The following is a 20,759-nucleotide window of genomic DNA, read 5'->3' as shown; positions in this document are numbered from 1 at the left end:
CATGCACACGTGCATGTAGACATGGGCAGAAACACCAGCCTGGAGGGAAAGGATGCACTTTCATGTTTAACAAAATAAATTAAATATACGGGGCTTCAGCTCAAACTCTACATAAAATTACAGAGATCTGGGGCCACCACGACAGTGGGGTGGGGGGTGGTGTCTGGCCTGGACGGGGTGTGGTCATCAGCATGGCTGAAAGACCAGGCGGGTCCCGGGCCCCAGGAGAGACCACAGTCCCTGCAACCCAGTCTTCCTTCCATCATTATTAATATTATCTTCATTTCTTAAATATAAATACCAAGGCCCCTTCTCTGTGTCAGGGGGAGAATGCAGTGGGGATGAGCCACTAGCCATGGGCTCCAGCCTCTCAGGCTTGGGGCTGCTGTGCCCCCAACCCCAGCCCACAGCAGTAGGGGACTCCTGGGCACCCAAGGCAGGTGGCAAAAATAGCCGCCAAGGCCAGGGGACAGAGGCGGGGATGGAGGCGGGGACTGAGGCGGGGACAGAGGCGGGCAGAGTTGGGGGAGTGACGGTGGAGCAGGGAAAGTCCCTCATCAACTATGAGCCTCACGGCACACGTACTGCAGGCTTCACGGCACACCCTCCCAAAAGCACGTCAGTCTGCGTGTGTCCAGGCAGCATATCTGCACCTGTGTGTGCATGTGTGTCCGGAAGTGTGTGCCCAGGCAGCATATCTGCATGTGTGCGTGCGTGTGTATCCGGACAGCATATCTGCACGTGTGTGCATGTCCAGACAGCATATCTGTGCACATGTGTGTGTCCAGGCAATATCTGCACGTGTGTGAGTGTTGAGGCAGCATTATCTGTGTGTGTGTCCAGGCAGCATATCTGCGTGCGTGTGTGTGTCCGGACAGCATATCTGTGCATGCGTGTGTGTGTCCGGACAGCATGTCTGCGTGTGTGTGTGACTAGACAGCATATCTGCGTGTGTCCAGGCAGCATATCTGCGCCTGTGCACGTGTGTCTGGAAGTGTGTGTCCAGGCAGCATATCTGCATGTGTGTGCGTGTCCAGACAGCATATCTGTGCACACGTGTGTGTGTGTGTGTCCAGGCAATATCCGTGCATGTGTGTGTCAAGGCAGCATTATCTGTGTGTCCAGGCAGCATATCTGTGCACGTGTGTGTCCGGATACCATATCTGCACGTGTGTGCGTCCAGACAGCATATCCGTGTGTGTGTGTGTGTCCAGGCAGCACATCTGCGCATGGGTGTGCGTGTGTATGTTCAGGCAGCATGTCCTTGTATGTTCTGGCATGTCTCTGTGCGTGTGCGTGCATTTGGGCAGCTTATCTGTGTGCCCAGGCGGCATATCTGTGCATGTGCGTGTGTGCGTACGTGTGCCTTCAGGGAGCACGTGTGCGCGCATGTGTGTGCATACATGCATCCAGGCAGTGTGTGTGTCTGTGTGTGTGTGTCCAGGGGCTATGCCTCACACACAGACTGCCTGGGGTGCTGGCCATTCCTCCTCGCCATGGGTCCCCTGCCTTCGTCTGCAGCTCCGTCCTCCATCCTCCCAGTCTGCCTGTCTGGCCGGCCCCCCCGTGCCCACTGCAGATACGGTGCCGTCTAGCACTGATAGTGGATGTGCTGGTGGACCTTGCCCTCCACGTGTGAGTGTGTGTGAGAGTGTGTGTGTGTGTGTGTGTGGATGTCTGTGTAGAGTTTGGGGTACAACTTAGGGCCAGCAACTGGGCCTGGGCCCAGTAAGTGCTGGGGGGCTGCCGGAGACCCATGCTCCTCACACAGCCCCACACCAGGGCCAGCGCTGAGGGCGGCCAACGAGGGAAGGTCCTTGTCTCCGCTGCGGTCGCGGGCCGTCCCCGGCGGGCGGTGCCCAGGCAGGGGAGGGGCAGGCGCGGGGGTGCACGGCTTCTTCTGGGCCTGGCAAAGCCACAGGAGCAGGGTGCCCAGGATGAAGACAGCGCCGGCTGGGATGCCGATGACCACGGGCCACGGCAGGCTAGTGGCCGAGGACGAGGAGGCCACAGGTGGCCCTGGCGGTTTTGGGTCTGCAAGAGCGAGAGGAAAGGAGGTAGGGAGGGGAACGCCGACACAAAGACCAGGAGAGCACCCCAGACCCATCCCAGGGGCTGTGGAGACGGTGCCCCTGGGCTGCCCTCCCTCGGCAGATGACCTGGCCAGCACGGCCCGGGAGGGAAGGGTGGGGCCCCACCCGGTGGGTGGGACGCCGGGCCCAGGGGGCGGGTCCGGGCACCAGCATGGTGTGGCGTGGCGTGGCAGCCGCGCACCTGGCAGCACGGTGAGGAAGGCGCTGCGGAAGCTGTAGCCCATGGTGTTGGCGCCAAGGCAGATGTACATGCCCGCATCGTCCTGGCGGGCACGGGTGATGAGCAGCTTATTGAGGTAGGAGCCGTCGGGCCGCGACCACACGTCACCCGTGGGCAGCACCACAAACTTCTGGCCGCCCACATCGATGGTGGAGTTGTGGCGGCCCTCGGCGCCGTACTCCACGCGCTTCAGCCACTGGATCACCGGCTTCACGTCGCTGCGCACCTTGCACTGGAAGGACGTGGTCCCCCCGAAGTCCACCGTCGTGTTCACGGGGTGCGTGCCTGTGAGCACGGGCTTGGAACGGGTCCGCTCTGTGGGAACGTGGCACGCGGGCATGGCTCCTGGGCCGCGCCGGACTCTACCCCGCCAGCACCCTGGGCCCACCAGCACCCCCAGCCCACCACCCCCAAGCCCTGCCAGTGCCCCCGCCCACCAGCGCCCCCGCCCACCAGCACCCCCGCCCGCCAGCGCCCCCGCCCACCAGCACCCCCCGCCCGCCAGCGCCCGGGGCCACACTCACGGATCACATCCACCTTGTAGGTGGCGTTGATGGCGCCCGCGCGGTTCGACACGCGGCAGGTGTATTTGCCGCTGTCCTCCGGCCGCAGGTTCTTCAGGCTCAGTGTCCACTTCTTCTTCCTGGGCTCAGCGGCCTCTGGGCGCGTCAAGGCCTGGTCGTCCTTCATCCACGTGATGTCGGGCCGAGGGTGCCCGCTGGCCACGCACTTGAGCCGCACGGAGCTACCCACGGGCCGTGCGATCACCCGGCGCCTCATCTTGGAGGGCTGTGTGAAGCGCGGTCGTGCTGCGGGGTGGGGTGGCGTGGAGGTCAGAGGACGGGGATGCAGCCAAGGGGCCGGGACAGACGGACGCCCCCCACCCCCGTCACCCCCTGCTCACCCCACTGCTGGCTGGCGGGGTCCTCTTGACCCCCAGAGGAGCTGTCGGGCCCCAGGCTCTCCTTCCCTGGGCTAATGTCATCTGCAGAGAGACGGAGGTGCACAGGGAGGGCAGGTGAGGGGGGCCCTGAGGAGCTCCCCCAACTCCCCCGTGGCCTCTAGCTCCCCCAGCCCCAGCCGGGACAGCCCTGGACACCCAGGCAGGGGGCTGCGCCACACACCCACAGCCCAGAATCCCAGGGACAGCTGGGCAAGGGCCGCTGGCCCACACTGGGCGCAGGTGACCCTGATGGGCACGGGTGGGGCTGGAGGGCCGGCCCCCATTCTGGCTCCGGGGGGTCTGCAGGCCCCGGGGGAGGAGGGAGCCGGGCCCGGCCAGCAGCTGCAGTAACCCTAGCCTACATCAAGGGGCCGAGGGCTGGTGAACAGACGAGACTCTCATACCACCCGGTCATCGTCCCCTTTGAAAGGACTGTGGGGTGGGGGTGGGGGACAGCCAGTTTTCCCATTCCACACAATGCCGAGGGGCAGGGCGTGCTGTGGAATGTCCCCTCCATCCACCCTGTGACAGCCGCTCCTTCACTGAGCCCAGGACCAGGCTGTCTCAGGCCGCACCCCCAGACCCTGCTGGGGCCTGGGCCAGGCTCCTGTATTCAGAAAACGGGCACATGTACCCTAAAACTTAAAGTAGAATTAAAAAAAAAAAAGAAACGGGCCAGCCCAGCTCCCAGGAGCTCCACCCGAGGGCCCCACACCCAGGAGCCCAGCGGAGCAGGCGGGGTGCCGGGTCCCTAGGTATGGAGGGCGTGTCTCTCTGGACACCTGTCCAAGCCCAGCGCCCGGGCCCCAGGCGCAGAAGAGAACAGAAAGGCCACGCATCCCGGCGGCTCCTCTGAACTCCGAAACCCGAGCCTCAAAGTCACAGCCGACGGCCGGCACACCCTGCCAAGGCCTCGGGCCCCAGCCCTTCTGTGGGACCACTGCCTTCGGCTCCCGCCCTCCACCCTCCGCCCTCCGCTGGGAGGAAGGCTCCGAGGCTGGAGCCTGACGGGGACAGGAACGGGACAGGATACCTGGGGGATGGTGGCAGAGGTGCAGCCAGCTGAGGTGGGGCAGGGCACCGAAGGAAGGCTTTCTGCCGGGGGCTGGCTGACTCTCGGGCCCCAGGTGTGTCCCCGTCCGCCCTCCTGCACACCCCTGCCTGGCTCCAACCCAGCCCATGACCTCTGACCGCAGCAGCGACTAACCCAGCACGACGAGGGTGTAGTTGACGCTCAGGCTGCCGAAGCCGTTGGTGGCCTTGCACACGTACACGCCGGCATCCTCCCGCTCCACCTGCTTCACCTTCAGCCCCTGCGGCAGCACGCGGAAGCGGCTCCAGCCGCTGTGGATGGTGCGGCCATCCTTGGTCCACATGGTCAGCGGCGGCGGGTCCCCCTCCACTGGGCACTGCAGCCGCACAGTGCGGCCCAGCCGGGCCACCTGCCGTGGGACCACCTTGTCCGCCATCTTTGGGGGGCCTGCGGGTGGGACCGAGGAACAGTCAGCGAGGAGGGGCTTGGGGTCCGGAGCCGGGGGGGCGGTCAAAAGGGGACCCACGGCCCAGCACAGACCTCGGGCCTGAGCTCCACCTGGGTCACCTGCCCAAGATGAGCAGAGGGGCCGAGGTGCAGTGCCCCTGACCCAGGCCTCAGCTGCCCACATGCACCAAAGCCCTGAGCACTGGCCCAGCAAACACCACGTCAGCAGCCTCTCATGGCCGGGGCAGCCCCGTGGCCCCAGAGGCTGGCTCTTTGAGACACGAGAAGGGAGCAGGGTCCCCAGAGGATGCAAAACAGCTGCGCTTGGTAACTCTCGAAAACCACCAACCAAAAGGGCAGAGTCTCCTTCTGGTCATACAGGAAGCAGCCGTACACCCGAGGTCAGAGGGGACAGTGGCCCCCCAAGGACAAGGGCAGTAGGGGGATGGGGGGCCTGGTGGGTCCCAAAGAGGCCCCAGGCCCCTCACCTAATTCCCACCCAACCATCAGCCCAGGGCCCAGCCGGGCCTGGGCATGGGCCAGCGACCCCACAGCTATCCACAAGCAACCGAGCACGGCGGGCTGCCTGAGCCTGTGCAATGTGTGGATGAGAGTCTGTGCAGCACCCACGTCTGTGTCAATATCAGACCTGAGTTCAGGGACCACAGATGCCCAGGTCTGTCTGCCCACCCCCAAGGGCCGTACCCTGCCAGGCACCTTAGCCTTGAGGGGGCATGACCCCAAGGCCCTGGGGTCAGAGAGCAAGCCTCTGGAGAGACGTAGCTCGGGCTGACCACGGGCACTGCCGCTCCTGTCTGGGGGGCAGCCAGTATGTCCTCCCACCACCTGTGAAACCCACAGGAGCAGAAAGGCTGCGGCTCCACATGGCCACCTGCACCATCCCACCCTATGTGGAGAAGCCGAGCCCTCCTTTCCTGGCAGAGGCCTCCTTTCCTGGCAGAAAGGAACCCACCCCATCCCCTGCCTGGGTCCCCGCCCCACCCCATCCCCTGCCTGGGTCCCCATCCCACCCCACCCCCTGTCTGGGTCCCCACCTCACCCCTTCCCCTGCCTGGGTCCCCACCCCATTCCCTGCCTGGGTCCCCACCCCACCCCCATTCCCTGCCTGGGTCCCCACCCCGCCCCATCCCCTGCCTGGGTCCCCACCCCGCCCCTTCCCCTGCCTGGGTCCCCACCCCGCCCCATCCCCTGCCTGGGTCCCCACCCCGCCCCTTCCCCTGCCTGGGTCCCCACCCCGCCCCATCCCCTGCCTGGGTCCCCACCCAGCCCTGCCCCTTCCCCTGCCTGGGTCCCCACCCCACCCCATCCCCTGCCTGGGTCCCCACCCCGCCCCTTCCCCTGCCTGGGTCCCCACCCCGCCCCATCCCCTGCCTGGGTCCCCACCCCAGCCCCACCCCTTCCCCTGCCTGGGTCCCCACCCCACCCCATCCCCTGCCTGGGTCCCCACCCCGCCCCTTCCCCTGCCTGGGTCCCCACCCCGCCCCATCGCCCCATTCCCTGCCTGGGTCCCCACCCCATCCCCTGCCTGGGTCCCCACCCCATCCCCTGCCTCAGTCCCCACCCCACCCCATCCCCTGCCTGGGTGCCTCTGGGCTGGAAGGCAGGGCCAGGGTTCTGTGTGTGTGTGACCAGCCCCAGTGGGCAGTGCCAAGCCGGCCAGGAAGATGAACCTAGAACACACAGACCCTGCAGGCCTCAGAAACTCGGGGCACCGCAGGGCCTGTACCTGGATGGAGCTCCTGGGAAAGGAGGGCCCTGCGTGCCCCACTCCCCACGTGCTGCTCCCAAGTCCTGCAGCGGCGACCACAGCCCACTCACTGCTCTCCATGTCGGAGAGGCGGCCGCAGGCACCCCACAGTTCCCAGGGCATCTCTCGCCAGCCCATGGGTGACAGTGTCCATCCCGCACTGCAGCCACTGCTGTCTGGGAGCGTCCAGGCTGCGTGCAGAACACCAAGAGGTAGCAGCTGCTCCAGGCCATCTCGATGGGGCCTGGGGCCGCGTGTTCCTCCAATACACAGTTAACAGTGGCCCTGTGACGTCTCCCACTGGCGTCTTCAGACACTCAGGGAGCAGCTCCCATTCTGACCCCCAAGTCTGGGGACAGGGACCCTCACAGAGAATCCCTATCACCTCTCTGGAGGCCTCCCAATCAGTGCTGATAGCACAGGGGGCGTTGCCCAGGGCCTCTAGGTTCTGAGCCCACAGGCATCATTGGCCGCTGGGGCTGGGAGTGGAGACACGGCGCCTCCCTGCTGTGCCCAGAAACACAAAGGGTGGGCTGAGGCTCTGGAGGGAGGGATTCTTCTCAGCCCTGGCTCACCCGGCCCATCCCAGTCCTTGGCCTCTCTGAGAAAACATGTGGGGGTCTCTTCTCTGACTCACGTCTCTCCCTCAACTCAGGACCCTCCCACCCAGGCCATGGGCCCCAGCCCTGAAGCCCCTCCTTCCCTACCCTCCCTGCAGCTCCCCGGAGAGGAAATGAGATGGCGGCTGTGGGGGGCTGCCAGCCCACCACCCCCTCAGTGTGGTTCTGTGAGCTGCCCAGGGCTGGGGGCAGCTCTGGCAAATTTGTCCCGGGGAGGAAGCGGCTGCAGGGCCCACAGCACTGGGGCCTCCTGACCCCTTCCCAGCCGGCCCAGGTCCCAGACGCACCCCAGGTTGACCCCACCAGCACCTGTCGCTGCCTGAAATCCCACCACCCACAGGGCCTCCCGGGACCAAGGGGGAGTGGCCAAGGCCCCTGGCCAGCCCAGCCCCTGTGGCCCACAGCCTGCAGGGGTGCCTGGGCCTCCTGGCTGGCTACCTGGGCACAGGCCTCACACGTGCATGTTCATGGGTGCACACAAGTGTTCACCCACACAACTGTCCAGAAGAAGCAAGAGAGCGAGTGCCTGGCCCTGTCCTGGGTGGGAGCACACTGACCCAGCCCCCCACATCTGGGGAGGGAGCCCACCTCAGAGGCTGAAAGCCCCAGCTACACTTCGGGAAGGTTTCCCAGCCCCCACCCTGCCCCAGGCAGATACAAGCAAGGCTTGGTGAGGTAAGGGTCCCCAAAGGCATGCGGGAGGTGCAGGATGACAGGCACAGACAGGGAGGCGGGACCCCCGCCTGTGGTCACCACTGAGAAAGGGGGCAGAGACAAATGACCGCTGGATGGCCGGAAGCGTGGCCCCCAGGGCCGGCCTGCAAGCGCTGTAGGCACGGGCAGAGGCAGCTGGGCCAGAGGAGCCAGGCTTATCCTAAAGCAAACAGCCTCCCTCCCCCTCGCCAGGCCTATCCCACCCCCACCTGGGCTCCCCGGACCCCCTGCTGTTGCCGGCCCAAGACCCCCCGCAGGAGGGCCTGCCCAGGAGGAAGCCCATCCCCCCAGATTCCTGGGGAATGATCACACCAGGACAGCGGCCAGGGCACCACGCCACCTGGACGGGCGTCCAACCCACGCAGCCTATGGGGAAACTGAGTCAGGACCTGAGGGCACAGGCACCTGGTGGGAAGACCGGCTGCCTCGCACTGCAGCCAGGAAGAAACACAGGGAACCCCCGCCGGGGCATGACAGCAGCACTGTGCCACCTCCGGGGCCGTGCACCCTGCCAAGACACCCCCCAGCCTCCTCCTCCAGCACAGCCCCTGCCCTGCACACACACTTAGCCACAGCCGAGAGGCCCCCAGCACAGGCAGGACACCAAGGGCCACATGGGAGCGAGACATGAGAGTAAACTGAGTCTGAGACAGGGCCTCACTGCTGTCAGGTATGGAGGACTAGACTCGGAGGCAGTGCGCCAAGAAGGCGGATGCCTCCAAATCCTCCCGCCGCCCCCCCCACCCCTGCCCAGCTGTAAAAAACACAACTAGGGAAGGAGGAGGAGCAGGGGCTTCCCACAGCAGCAAGGCCCAGAGGCCGCTCTGCCTACACGCTTTGTCACACACACACTGTCCCCAGACAGAGGCTCCTCTTTCCCAGGGCCCAGGGAGGGTGGAGGTGGGCAGGCCCTGGGATGGAGGGGAAGAAGCTGCAGTCTGGAGGGACGGAGGCAGGAACCCCCTGCGGCCTGCCCTTCCCCGTCTTCACAGGCCCTCATATCAGCTCCCCGAACACCTGCCCCATCTGAAGTGCCCTCTCCGACACCCCTCACCCCGTAGCTCCTCGGGGGCTCCAATATCTCTTCTGGAAGGGCCCGTCCTGGCCACGTGGTCCAAACCCACACCCAAGCCCCTCTCCCGTGCTCGTGGTGTCCCGAGGCCTGGCATACAGCAGATACTCAGTGGACATTCGTAGGGAGAACGGTGTGGGTGTGGGGGCCGGCCAGGGCAGGTACAGAGGATGCAGGGCTGGGGCTGCCCGGCTTCCCTCCTGTGGCCAGGTGGCTCCTCCCCATGGGGCCTGGCTCCTACAGGGAGCAAGGAGGGGGTGCTTCCCCAGAACACAGCCCTCAGCACAGGGAGAGACACCCAGGCAGGGACACACGTGCAGCGTCATGACCCCTCTGTTGGGAGAAGACACGAGCTAGGACCAGGACACTGGCTGGAAACGGCCTCCTCCAACTTTCCAGTGCACCCTGCACCTCCCAGGACGCCTCTACAGCCCAGGCCAGTGGTATCCACCCCTCTACAGAGCCCGAGGCAGCACCTGCCCAGGTCGGACGGGACTCCTGACCCAGTAGGGACAACGGGGGCTTCCCAAGGAAGGAGCACTCACTGCGGCAGGGGCTGATGCTGGTCAACAACACAGCAGGGTGGGGCGTCTGTGGGGACAGACGGAGCCAGTGTGCGCTGGGGAGGGAGGGGCAGGTGGAGCTGACCGCTGAGGAGCTGGCTGTGTGGCCCCCTCAACCCCAACCCTGACCGGCTACCCAAGTTCCCGCATGGAGGAGCTGGACCAAGAGCGTCCTGGCAGCCGAACGAGGCCAGAGTGGAGTGAGGATGCCTGCGAACTGGGGGGCCCTGCATGGCCCAAAGTTTCCAGCTGGAGGAATTCTCTGGCCTGACCCAGGACCTGGCCACGGGGTGGGGGTGGCCAGGCCCCAAGTCCTCCTGGAGAAGCTGAGTGGCCTGGGGGAAGGGGGCTCACCTTGACCAGAAGGGAGGGGAGGGGAATCAGGACACACTGTGTCGAACCCCTAGTGGGGTGCAGAGCCAATCCAGGTGCTGAGCCTTCTGCAGCCGGTGGTCCCCCCACCCGGTTACCGAGAAGAGACACAGTGCCCCCATCACAGATGGCCGCTATGTGGCTGTGCCAGGCCCCCAGGGGCACCCAGGGCAGGAGTGAGTGGGAAACCCCAGAGTCAGTGCCAGGGCCCAGTCCCCTCCTCAGGAAGCCAAGTGCAAGAGTGGCCGCCCCCAGGAGCCAGAGAACAGGTGACCGCCACGCAGCCTGCTGCCCATCAGGTGCCAGGGCCAGGCTCTGCCCCAGCCCCGGGACGCTCAGGCACATACATGTGCACCTGCATACACAGACCCAGGGCACACACAGTCACCAGCTAGCGAGGCGGCCCTCGGGGAGCAGACCCACAGGACGTGCGGGGGAACTGGGGGCCTGCAGCACAGGTGGCTACCCCACAGGCTGTGCCCCAGCAAGCTGCATGCAGCATGTGGCCCACCATGCTGCCCAGCCCTGGAAGCATTCGGGGGAACCTTCTGCAACCCCAGCCCCAGGGCACTGCTCCCCCTCCTCGACACACCAGGGCACACAGCGGGCACCAGAGCATCATCAGGCAGTCCCACGCCCTGGAGAGAACCTTGTACAGCACTAAAACAGGCAAAGATTCCTCCGTACCCATCCCAGTCCAGACCTCACCAGGCCCACCCAGCTTCACGTGGCCCCCACCCCCACCTCAAAACCCCAGCCTGCCGGGCTGCAGTCCCCAGGCCTCCCCTGCCCGGAACTCCCCAGAGGGGCTCTGCCTGCAGACCTTGGCAGCCCTTCCCCACTTCAGAAGCATCAACAAGAACATTTCCTGAGCCCAGAACCCCTGAGGCCAGAGATCAGGGGTGAGCTGATGCTCTGTCCCCTGCCAGGGCTCTTGGCCCCCAGGTGGGGCTGCCCCAACCACGGAGCAGCCCAGGCACACCGGGCACCACCAGGTCAGGGGCCCTTGCTCCCACTCACATGGCGGACTTCTCAAGGACAGAGCTGGGGACAGGAGGGCACCGGGCCTGTCCGCTGCAGCTCCCCAGGCCCCTGCAGGCCACAGGGCACAGCCGCCCAGACCCTCCAGGACACACAGTGATGCCTGCGTCAGGCACCCTGGTGCATGGTACTGCGCTCCACACCAAGCCCTGCAGTCACCACTGGGAACAGGGCAGGAAGGCTACAGGGAGTGTAGAGGGCCTTGAAGCCACTGGCTGGTGGGCCTGGACAAGGAACCCAAGCTCTCCACGGGGCCACCAGGCTGTCCTGGGGCTCAGTCTTAGAAGCCCAGAGGGTGTCACCGTGCCCAGCGGGCCCCACGCCACACACAAGGGCAACAGCCCGGCTCCCTCTTTCCTGTCACTGCTCAGCCAATGTTCACCCCTCAGCCCCTTAACAGCACCAGGCAAGAAGTAATTGAGCCTTCTGCCAAGATGGGCAGCACCCCCCTGCCCCACACAGGGGCAATGACCTGGAAGGAGACCCCCACCCACGCTGACTTGCTCCAAGGGGACTGGTACCCACCTCTCCTGCTAGGTATGCCTTGGCCCGTGAAGCCCCTCCTCTCCCATCCCCTGCTTCACCCCTGCCCCAGCCATCCTGGATCATGGCTCTGGGGCTGCGGCCCACCTTGGAGCCGCCTGCAGAGGGCAGCCAGGCACCCTGGGGCTTGACCAGCAGCTCCAGGGATGGCCGCCAGGGAGAGTGGCAGGCAGGCAGGGAGTGCAGCCCTGGAGGGGGCCTCTGGGGAGAGGGGTGTGGGTATCCCTCTCCCTCCTGTGCTGACCCGCTGAGGCTGTCACCTGGACACACCAGGCCTGGAGTCACTGGCGGAGGCCCTGATGGGGCAAAGGAGTCCACCCTGGGCCGAGCAGCAAGCCCGGGCCGCACAGAGGGCCAGCATGCAGCAGCCGGGGTCCAGTCTGCGGGCACAGCCCGCCTCTCCCAGCACGGCCGCAGTTCCTGAGCCAGGGCTGGGCAAGCCAGGGCTGGGCAAGCCAGGGGCTGGAGGCCACGACTGGGGAAAAACCAACATTTCCCCTGACAGGGCCGCAGCGCGGGGCCTGCGGCTGAAAGGGAGCCCGGAGGCCCATTGATTCCCGCACAATGGATAAAGGAGTCTGCGGTCGGCGTTTCCAGGCCCAGCCAAAGGCGACTTTGTTCACGGCTCCCTCCCTCCCCCCAAGGGGACAGTGATTTATTTTCCCTTCCAGGAGTGGGGCCCCGAGATGGAAACGGGGCGGCTGGCCCGATTCCCCACCTTGCAGGGGCTGGGCCCAGCTCCCACACGTCCACCTCAGCCCGCTGCACACGGGCCAGCCACTGCCCGGAAGGGCCTGGGGCGAGGGAGGAAGGCCCTGAGGCCTGGCTGGGGGCCGAGGTCAGCACCGTACACCCACGGCTATTGCTTCCCCGAATCACAACCCTTCAGACTCTTGCCCCCACAGGGAGCCGACACTGACCCCGCTACCCCCCAGGCATGGGGCACCCCTGGACAGGCACCCTGCCCACCTGGGTCAGGGCTCAGCTTGCCCACCGCAGCTGGCCGGGTGCAGAGGACAGGGGAGTGGCCTCCTAGGCAGGCCACTCAGAGCTGGCCCCCAAGGCCATGCTTGCAAAAGTTCAAAGGTGGCACTTCTCAGAAAGCCCTGAAACGACTTCCTTCAGAGTTATTTGTGAAAGACATTTCATGCAGAACCTCTCAAGTTCCCACTGTGAGAAATAAAATGGAAAGGGAGAAAGCCAATTCCTATATTTTTTCAAATTGGAAAAAAAAAAAGCAGTTTAAGACAAATCCACCAAGATTGTGAAAGTTTGGGAAAAGAGGAACTTTTAAAATATGATCTGAGTGTAGCGATGTGCCGATTCCAGAACTTATGACCCAGCGGGAAATGGCTTTTCAAAAATAACCCAAGCCCTCTGCATGCTGGTCCTTGGCCTAACGAAGGTGCACAGTGGGCTGTTCAGAGCAGGAGAAACACACTTGGATGGACCTCGCGCCCTAGTCCACGCTAGGAAAATCAGCACAGTCCGGAAGAACCTCCTCCCCACCTCCACCCAAACCACAGAGGCCCCTGCCCTTGGAAAGCAGCTTGATCCCAGCTCCCCAGTGCCGCCAGGGCCTTTGCCACGCAAAGCCAGGGCTGGATATCCTCAGCCCCAAGGCCGCAGCTGAGGAGGACGAAGGCGAAGGGGGTGGCCGCTGGGGCGTCTCCACGAAGAGGCGGGCTCTGCCGCCCACTGCCATGGCTGACCGTGGCCATCCACCAGTCAGCTTCAGCCCCAGCCAGGAAACATGGCAGGACAGAGGCCTCCAGAGCCTCCCTGGCCGAGTGGCCAGAGGACAGGCAGGTGTAGGGATTGGGGAGGCCAAACAGATCAAAGAGAATGCAAGTCCAGGCCGCTGGCCATGGTAGGGGCTCGCCCAGTATGGCCTGAGTGCCCACACAGCCCAGGACGCTGCCGGGCCCTCAGAGCAGCCGCTCAGCCAGGCCCATGTGGGCAGGCGGGGGGTAGGGGGGGGTGCTGTGGCATAAGGCCCACCTGGTCACCGCCCGCCACCCAGCACCCGAACGTGCCCATATAAGGCCAGGTTGGATGCGGCGCGCTTGCTGGGCGGCAGGGGAGGGGTGCGAAGCCTCAGGACTGGTGGACACAGCGCGGACAATCCTGAGTGGTCAACACGCCCAAAGGGCCGGCCTGGCCACAGGTCCCGCCTAGCCATGGGGGCAGCCAGCGCTGTGCCCGGATCCTGGAACATGGCGGGCATGAGTCTGCGGGCACACGTCACCCATCGGCTCCGGATGTCCTTGCTGGGGCTGGGTCCCAGGGCATGGCTGCCACTTAGATGTCGGTGCCATGAGCACGTACCAGGCCAGCACAGCGTGTGCCCAGAGGCACGCAGTCCTGGGGTGCGTCACGGCTCTGGGGACTTGTCCACACAACCGCCCGGCACTGCCTGCCTAGAGCTGGGCAGGCCCAGGGCACACGGCTAGGTCGGCTGGGGGACTGGGGGTCTGGGGGTCAGTTTCAGTCCCAGACACCAAGTATATTACCAATATCTCCCATAGCCCATCCTGCCTTCCGTGGGGGTCTCTGCAGGTTCCCAGAGTCCTTATCGGGTCCACTGTGGCCACAAACCGCCCACTCCCCAAGAATCCACAGGTGATTAGCTGCCCTGGACTGCAGGTACGAGTATGAAAGTGTTTGCAAGACCAGGAGCATGTCCTGGGGAGCCAGGACTAAAGCCCACCTGGCCAGCAAGCACGCATGAGGGGAACCCCTCCAGCCAGCTAGGGGAGCCCCGGTGGGTGCTGTGGACAGCCCATGGGTGAGGGGGCCCTGGAAGGAAGGGGGCCTGGCGAGCGGGGCGGCAGGGGCGGGGCATGGCGCGTGCCAGGCGGGCACTGTGGCAGGGTTCAGGGCCGGGCGGGAAGGGGGCGGCGCTGGCGGAGGCCAGGCTGGCCGGGCTGGGCGCCAGAACTCACCTCGGGCGGCGGCGGCCGGCGGGAAGGCCCCCAGCAGCAGCGGCGGCAGCAGGAGCAGCAACAGGGGGCTCGGCGTCATCTCGGCCTGTCCGGACCTGGGGACATTGGGGGCGCCGTCACTAACACGTGGAACTGGGAGATACCGCCCTCCCCGGTCCCGGGCCGCGGGGATCAGGGGTCTGGCCGCCCTCCCCACAGGCCCTCCCCGCCCGCGCTCCAGGCGGAGGAAGCCGCAGCGGGGAGAAGCTGTGGGTATCAAAGGCAGACAAAGGGTTTACACTAATTACCGGGCTCCCCCGCCGCCCCCCCTCTCCAAACACCGTCTGGATTCCTGGCGCTTGTAACTCCGGCCCTGCCCGCAGGACACACAACACTCAGCGCCCCGCAGATAATCGCCTGCGCCATTAGCGGACAAATTTGCGCTGGGGGGGGCCCACGTGGGGCGCGGGGGCGGGGGCGGGGCAGGCCGGGGGCCCGCAGGAGCGGCGGCGGCGCGCATGACCCGTGCCCAGCTGGGGCCCCGAACCCGCCCCTCCCCGCCCCCGCCCCGGACCCCCGCCCTCCCCCGTGTGCCCACCTGGGGTCGCGGCCGCGCGCGCGGGGGGCTCACCTCGGCGGGGGGCTCAGCGGGCGGGCGGCGGGGTCAGGGCCGGGCCCGCGGCGTGCGCTCCGCGGTCATCGCCGCCCCGGGCGCCGCATCCCGCCGCCCCGCGCCCCCGGGCCCGGTCTCGGGGCGGGGCGGCGCTACCTGGGCGCGGGCGGCTCGGGCCGGGTCGGGGTCCGGGCTCGGGCGCTCGGGGCGCGGGGTCCCGGACCGGGCAGGCGGCGGGGGCGAGTCCGCGGGGCCGGGGGCCGGGGCCGGGATCCCGGGGCGGCGGGGCGAGGGGCCCGGGGCGCCGCGCCGCGAGGCGTCCTTCCCTGCGGGGCTTTGTCAACTCTCCCGGAGCGAGCGCCGAGCCCGGACCCCCGACCCGCCCCCGGCACAACTTCCGGCCAATCCGCGCGCGTCAGCCCTCCCCCGTGCCCCGCCCCGCCGCCAAACTTTTCCCCAATCCGCGCGCGCACACCGCCCCCGCCCCGCCGGGCTCCCGGCCTTAACCCTCGCGGTGCGGACGTCCCCGCGGGCGGGCGGCTTCCCCGGGTCCGGCCCCGCCCCCGCCCCCGCCCCGCCCCAACCCGAGCCTCGCCGCGCCCCCGGCCCCGCCCGCGCGCCCTTGGTCCCCGCAGGCTCCTAGGACCGGCCAGGAGCCGCCGCGCCCTCCCCATACCTGCGCCCGCGCGCGCCCGGGTCGGGTCCTCAACTCTCGAGACACCTCCGCGACCCCCAGAGCAGGCTCCGGCCCTGCCCGCGGCAGTCTGACCTCTGCGCAGCCCCGGGCCGGGCCCAGACCGCTCTCTGGTTGCTCAGAAGGGGGCGGACTGGACGGCCGCGGGAGCTTCGAGGCTTCCAGGTCTGCGCCCCGGGGGGTCTTCGGGAGCAGAAGGGAGAAGCAGGGCCTCGCCCAGCCGGAGCTGCTGGGGACGGGGTAGGGGGGGACGGCCGCGGCGATGCAGGCAGGGGTCCTCCCCGGGGCGTTCGGGTTACCTGGTGCCTTTGGCCAAAGGTATGTTCCCACCTGAGGCCTCCCAGCCTCTCACCTGCTAGTGACGGGAATGACAAGAACATTAATCATCGTAATAGACGTCAACATGCGATTCAATCTCCGCTACCGGGCAGGCGGCCCCAGGAGCAGATGAAGAAACGGAGGCGTGGAGAAGACAGCGCCCAGCTCTTCGCGGCTCTTCCTCCACACGCCTCGCCTGCCGTCCCTGCCCAGGGCCCAGCACGCAGGGCTCCCAGGCCGCACCTCCAGCCGCCCCATGGCCTCCCCTCATCCTGCCTCCCAGTCTTGCAACACAAACCTCACGGCCTGCCCACATCCCGCCTCACACCCTCGACTCCGCGGAGTCACCATCCCAGCACCTCCTCCATCCCCCAGAGCAGCCTCTCTTTCTGGGGCCTGAAGCCCCCTCTTCCAGGAAGTCCTCCCAGGAAAGGCTGAAACTGGAGAGGCCTGGCAGCCGGTGTCCCCAGGCCGAGGAGAGCTAGGCGGGGCGTGGGGGGCGCCAGCTGTCAGGGTGTGGGACTCCTCAAGGCCCGAACTACCCGGCCGTCCCAAGGTGCTGGTTCCCAGCCCAGCGTCCTCCACCCCAAATCCCGCGTCTGGGCCAGCGTGGGCGTCGCGAGGGCGGATGGAGGTGCGCTCGGACGGCCCATCCTGCCCCCGCTGGCGCAGCCGCCGCTGTGCACCCGGGGAAGGGTCCAGGGACCGCCGCGTGGTCCTCCCGGCGGGAGAACGTCCTGCGCCGCCGCCGCGGCCCTGTCCCACAAGGAGCCAGCAGCGCCGGGGCCCACCTGCCGCCCTCCCGGCCGGAGCTGCAGTCACGGACAGGTGGGTGGGGCGGTCTCACGCCCGTGGGAGAGCGGCGCTGAACTTCCCGGACAGCTGGCGAGGAGGCAGCGCTCCCACAGATGTGCGGGCTGCCGGACACAGGTGCGTGGAAAGGGGACAGGTGTGCGGAAACGTGGCTGCGAGCGTGCAAAGTATAAGCAGGGAGCGGACAGGCCGGCAGGTGCCGGCCCCCGAATGAGCGGGCAGTGGGAGGGGCACGGGCAGCGTCGCGGCCCCTGGCGGGCGGGGCCGGGACGGGGGGCGGGGCCAGGGGCGGAGCGGCAGACGGGGCGGGGCCCGAGGCGGACAGGGGCGGGGACGGGGAGGGGGCGGGGCCTGGCCGGGCGGGGGCGGGGCCCGGGCCTCCCGCGCCGGCACGCGCTGCCCTCTGGCGGTGGCGGCGGCGCCGGCGCGGCAGCTCCCGAGGCGTTTTTCCTCGTCTCCTCGCCCCGCCCCGCCCCGCCCCGCCCCGCCCCGCCCGCCACGTCCCAGCCCGCGGCCGGCCCAGGCCCCGTCCTCAGGCAGCCCCCCGCCCCTCGCCCACCCCCGGAACAGGGACTGGGCCCTCCCCGCTCCCACGGCCCTTCGGGTCAGGCAGCGCGGAGCCGAGGGGCCGGCGCAAGCACGTCCTGCCCCTTAAAACTGAAACGGGGCGGTCAGCCACCCTCGGGGTCTCAGGCCCCATCCTCAGCCAACCCCATGGGGTGACCGCGGGAAGACAGGTTCTTGTAGCCACCTACCCAGCCCCGGTGAGCCCCAGGCGCGCAGGTTCGCTAGCACGGATCCTCGCTTGCCCGCGACAGCACCTGCCCCGGGGCAGAAGAGGCAGGACTGGGGGAGAGCCGGGCAGGCCTCACAGAGGCGGCATCTCAGGAACAGCAGGTGTAGGGACTGACAAGGACAGGCGGGTGGAGGAGGCTTGGCAGAGAATGGAGATGCAGTAACAGTGACTTACACACTCTCAGCTGCAGCAACCAAAAAAATAGGTGTGAAAACAGCACGTAAGGCACTGGGCTCACGAAACCGAGGACCGTGGTGCTGGAGAGAGGGGAAGCGACCCGGCAGCGAGGACAGTCCCGCCCACTGCCCAGGCCGGTGCAGAGAAAACCCAGGCAGCCACCGGCGTCTCCCTCAACTGGGAAGACAGAGGTGGCCAGGCAGGGGCTGGAGTTCACAGGTGCTCCAGAGTGCTGGAGAGGAGGGGGCTGCACCGAGAAGCCCAGACACCCACAGAGGGTCTGCCTGGAGGCTTCAGCTAAGCACAGATCAGTGCAGGAGCGTGAAGAAAACACTCAAGGCCAGGGAAAGACCCACCCAGGATCAGAGCCCATGCAGGGCTGGGAATAGTGCCTGTGCTCAGCAGCCAGAGTGGGGAAGCATCGTTAGAGCAGGAAGAAGTTCTCACCCCGTAGTAGGGAAGCATCAACACGAGACTAAATACAGTTCAGGTCCCACCAAACACCACTGAATAAGAAGACCCAGAGCCAGATGTGGGGGCTCACACCTGTAATCCCAGAACTTTGGGAAGCCAAGGCAGGCAGACCAGTTGAGCCCAGGAGGTCGAGACTAGCCTGAGCAACACGGTGAAACCCCATCTCTACAAAAATCCAAAAAGTCGCCAATGTGGTGATGCGTGCCTGTGGCCCCAGCTATTGGGGAGGCTGAGGTGGGAGAATCACTTGAGCCCAGGGGGCCGAGACTGCAGAGAGCCAAGATCACACCACTACACTCCAGCCCGTGCGACACAGTGAGACCCTGCCTGAAAAAAAAGGACCACACAGTTTCCAAGTAACTTGATCACATTCGAGAAACAAATGCAAAGATATGTATAGGTTTACAAAAATATCCAGCACCAAACAAGGTAGAATACAAAATATTGAATATCCGGGAAAAACAAAAAACAAAAAAACAGGCATGAAAAGAGGCAGGACATTATGACCCATATGGAGAGATGGGAAAAATCAATCAAAATTGACCTGGGGCCGGGCACAGTGGCTCACGCCTGTAATCCCAGCACTCTGGGAGGCCGAGGAGGGCGAATCACTTCAGACCAGAAGTTCACAACCAGCCTGGACAACATGGTGAAACCCCATCTCTACTAAAAATAAAAAAACTAGCCAGGCGTGGTGGCAGGCAACCTGTAGCCCCAGTTACTCAGAAGGCTGAGGCAGGAGAATCACTTGAATCCGGGAGGTGGAGGTTGTAGTAACTGACCTGGAAATGACAAAGGTGACAGGGCAAGTAGAGGAGAGCACACACATGCTTATGCTGTGACCATGTTCCATATGTTCAAGATGCTGGAGGTGACAGGGCAAGTAGAGGACAGCACACACATGCTTATGCTGTGACCATGTTCCATATGTTCAAGATGCTGGAGGTGACAGGGCAAGTAGAGGACAGCACACACATGCTTATGCTGTGACCATGTTCCATATGTTCAAGATGCTGGAGGTGACAGGGCAAGTAGAGGACAGCACACACATGCTTATGCTGTGACCATGTTCCATATGTTCAAGATGCTGGAGGAAAGGAAAGACAATATGTTAAGTAAAGACGGGGAAAAAAGCCTCAAATCGTACTTCTGGGGATGAAAAGTAGTGTCAGAGAAATAATACACGAGATGGGATTAATGGAACACTGCAAAAGAAAGGATCAGTGTGGCTGGGCGCCGTGGCTCACACCTATAATCCCAGCACTTTGGGAGACCAAGGCAGGTGGATCACCTGAGGTCAGGAGTTCAAGACCAGCCTGGCCAACATGGTGAAACCCCATCTCTACTAAAAATAGAAAACTTAGCTGGGTGTGGTGGCGTGTTCCTGTAGTCCCAGCTACTCAGGAGGCTGAGACAGCAGAATCACTTGAACCCAAGAGGCGAAGGTTGCAGTGAGCCCAGATCACACCACTGCACTCCAGCCTGGGTGACAGAGCAAGACTCCGTCTCAAAAAAAGGATCAGTGAACTTGAAAACATAGCAATACAAACTGTCCAAATGAAACGGAGAAAAATGACTAGAAAAATGGAAAGAGCATCAGTGAACTGTGGTTCACCTTCAGGTGGTGAAACATGGGTATAATTGGAGTCCCCAAAGGAGAGGAGACAGAGGTTGGGAAATAATAAAGCTGTTTTTAGATCGAGCAGAGCGAAAGAATCACCTGCAGGAGTGTCTAAGCTGTCCCTCAAGCAGAAGGAAGGTCATACCCAATGGAAAACTGAATCTACACAAAGAAATGAGGAACACCAGAAACGGCAACTAAATGAGTGAGTATAAAGAGTGTTTTTCTTTTTTGAGTCAGAGTCTCACTCTGTCGCCCAGACTGGACTGCAGTGGCAGGATCTCGACTCACTGCAACCGCCGCCTCCCAGGTTCAAGCGATTCTCCTGCTTCAGCCTCCCAAGTAGCTGGGATTACAGGCATGCTCCAGCACACCTGGCTAAGTTTTGAATTTTTAGTAGAGGCGGGGTTTCACCACATTGGCCAGGCTGGTCTTGAACTCCTGACCTCAGGTGATCCACTTGCCTTGATAATCATCTGATTAACGTAAAAATAATGTATTGTGGGGTTTATATCATATGAGAAATCAAAATATGTAACAACAATAGCACAATGGCTGAAAGAGAAAAATGGAAATGTAATGTTGTAAGGTTCTTTGACTACGTATGAGGTTATATGATATCACCTGAAGTTAGTCACAAGTTAAAAATGTATAGTAGGCGGGGTGCAGTGTCTCACGCCTGTAATCCCAGCACTTTGGGAGGCTGAGGCGGATAGATCATGAGGTCAGGAGTTCGAGACCAGCCTGGACAATGTAGTGAAACCCCATCTCTACTAAAAATACAAAAATTAGCTGGGCGTGGTGGTGGGCGCCTGTAGTCCCAGCTACTCGGGGGGCTGAGGCAGAAGAATCGCTTGAACCTGGGAGGCAGAGGTTGCAGCGAGCCGAGATCGCGCCACT

The 20,759-nt window shown here is 64.6% G+C and overlaps 1 protein-coding gene across 5 annotated transcripts, besides 11 other annotated features; it reads right to left on the bottom strand.

Moving 5' to 3' along the window:
• Positions 1 to 40: 40 nt before the first annotated feature.
• Positions 41 to 16,727, bottom strand: FGFRL1 (fibroblast growth factor receptor like 1). Of its 5 annotated transcripts, none has more exons than XM_024454092.2 (7): positions 16,013 to 16,727; positions 14,375 to 14,469; positions 4,464 to 4,736; positions 3,218 to 3,298; positions 2,838 to 3,122; positions 2,275 to 2,628; positions 41 to 2,034 (listed from the first exon to the last, which is right to left on the bottom strand). In XM_024454092.2, exons 1-7 carry the CDS (start codon positions 16,063 to 16,065, stop codon positions 1,592 to 1,594), a joined length of 1,584 nt encoding a protein of 527 aa, XP_024309860.1. In that variant the 5' UTR covers positions 16,066 to 16,727; the 3' UTR covers positions 41 to 1,591. The 5 variants fall into 5 exon arrangements, with proteins under 5 accessions (XP_024309860.1, NP_001004356.1, NP_001004358.1 ...); NM_001004356.3 differs by lacking the exon at positions 16,013 to 16,727 and adding an exon at positions 14,985 to 15,313; NM_001004358.1 differs by lacking the exon at positions 16,013 to 16,727 and adding an exon at positions 14,952 to 14,967.
• Positions 193 to 692: an enhancer, noted in NCBI's record as "H3K4me1 hESC enhancer chr4:1020035-1020534 (GRCh37/hg19 assembly coordinates)". NCBI's record gives its function as "activates a minimal SCP1, AML or CMV promoter by ChIP-STARR-seq in primed H9 embryonic stem cells {active_cell/tissue: H9 hESC(primed)}" and the evidence as "EXISTENCE:reporter gene assay evidence [ECO:0000049][PMID:30033119]".
• Positions 693 to 1,194: an enhancer, noted in NCBI's record as "H3K4me1 hESC enhancer chr4:1019533-1020034 (GRCh37/hg19 assembly coordinates)". NCBI's record gives its function as "activates a minimal SCP1, AML or CMV promoter by ChIP-STARR-seq in primed H9 embryonic stem cells {active_cell/tissue: H9 hESC(primed)}" and the evidence as "EXISTENCE:reporter gene assay evidence [ECO:0000049][PMID:30033119]".
• Positions 7,931 to 8,800: an enhancer, noted in NCBI's record as "H3K27ac-H3K4me1 hESC enhancer chr4:1011927-1012796 (GRCh37/hg19 assembly coordinates)". NCBI's record gives its function as "activates a minimal SCP1, AML or CMV promoter by ChIP-STARR-seq in naive H9 embryonic stem cells {active_cell/tissue: H9 hESC(naive)}" and the evidence as "EXISTENCE:reporter gene assay evidence [ECO:0000049][PMID:30033119]".
• Positions 11,183 to 11,985: an enhancer, noted in NCBI's record as "H3K27ac-H3K4me1 hESC enhancer chr4:1008742-1009544 (GRCh37/hg19 assembly coordinates)". NCBI's record gives its function as "activates a minimal SCP1, AML or CMV promoter by ChIP-STARR-seq in naive H9 embryonic stem cells {active_cell/tissue: H9 hESC(naive)}" and the evidence as "EXISTENCE:reporter gene assay evidence [ECO:0000049][PMID:30033119]".
• Positions 11,986 to 12,789: an enhancer, noted in NCBI's record as "H3K27ac-H3K4me1 hESC enhancer chr4:1007938-1008741 (GRCh37/hg19 assembly coordinates)". NCBI's record gives its function as "activates a minimal SCP1, AML or CMV promoter by ChIP-STARR-seq in naive H9 embryonic stem cells {active_cell/tissue: H9 hESC(naive)}" and the evidence as "EXISTENCE:reporter gene assay evidence [ECO:0000049][PMID:30033119]".
• Positions 14,572 to 14,641: a silencer, noted in NCBI's record as "silent region_15121". NCBI's record gives its function as "represses an Ori minimal core promoter by ATAC-STARR-seq in GM12878 lymphoblastoid cells {active_cell/tissue: GM12878}" and the evidence as "EXISTENCE:reporter gene assay evidence [ECO:0000049][PMID:35858748]".
• Positions 15,321 to 15,840: a silencer, noted in NCBI's record as "silent region_15120". NCBI's record gives its function as "represses an Ori minimal core promoter by ATAC-STARR-seq in GM12878 lymphoblastoid cells {active_cell/tissue: GM12878}" and the evidence as "EXISTENCE:reporter gene assay evidence [ECO:0000049][PMID:35858748]".
• Positions 16,358 to 16,990: an enhancer, noted in NCBI's record as "H3K27ac-H3K4me1 hESC enhancer chr4:1003737-1004369 (GRCh37/hg19 assembly coordinates)". NCBI's record gives its function as "activates a minimal SCP1, AML or CMV promoter by ChIP-STARR-seq in naive H9 embryonic stem cells {active_cell/tissue: H9 hESC(naive)}" and the evidence as "EXISTENCE:reporter gene assay evidence [ECO:0000049][PMID:30033119]".
• Positions 16,671 to 16,740: a silencer, noted in NCBI's record as "silent region_15119". NCBI's record gives its function as "represses an Ori minimal core promoter by ATAC-STARR-seq in GM12878 lymphoblastoid cells {active_cell/tissue: GM12878}" and the evidence as "EXISTENCE:reporter gene assay evidence [ECO:0000049][PMID:35858748]".
• Positions 17,031 to 17,130: a silencer, noted in NCBI's record as "silent region_15118". NCBI's record gives its function as "represses an Ori minimal core promoter by ATAC-STARR-seq in GM12878 lymphoblastoid cells {active_cell/tissue: GM12878}" and the evidence as "EXISTENCE:reporter gene assay evidence [ECO:0000049][PMID:35858748]".
• Positions 17,381 to 17,490: a silencer, noted in NCBI's record as "silent region_15117". NCBI's record gives its function as "represses an Ori minimal core promoter by ATAC-STARR-seq in GM12878 lymphoblastoid cells {active_cell/tissue: GM12878}" and the evidence as "EXISTENCE:reporter gene assay evidence [ECO:0000049][PMID:35858748]".

The sequence above is a fragment of the Homo sapiens genome, chromosome 4, assembly GCF_000001405.40.
Source record: "Homo sapiens chromosome 4, GRCh38.p14 Primary Assembly".
Classification (NCBI taxonomy): Eukaryota; Metazoa; Chordata; class Mammalia; order Primates; family Hominidae; genus Homo; species Homo sapiens.
Note: the sequence above shows the minus strand (reverse complement) of the source record. Positions and strands in the feature narration are given on the sequence as shown.

Coding starts and splice junctions, on each gene's coding strand:
- FGFRL1 (XM_024454092.2), bottom strand. CDS start 16,065: ATGTTGACGTCTATTACGATGATTAATGTTCTTGTCATTCCCGTCACT. Junction 3,299..4,463: donor CTACACCCTCGTCGTGCTGG/GTTAGTCGCTGC, acceptor GTCTCTCTGCAG/ATGACATTAGCCCAGGGAAG. Junction 3,123..3,217: donor CCCCGCCAGCCAGCAGTGGG/GTGAGCAGGGGG, acceptor CCCACCCCGCAG/CACGACCGCGCTTCACACAG.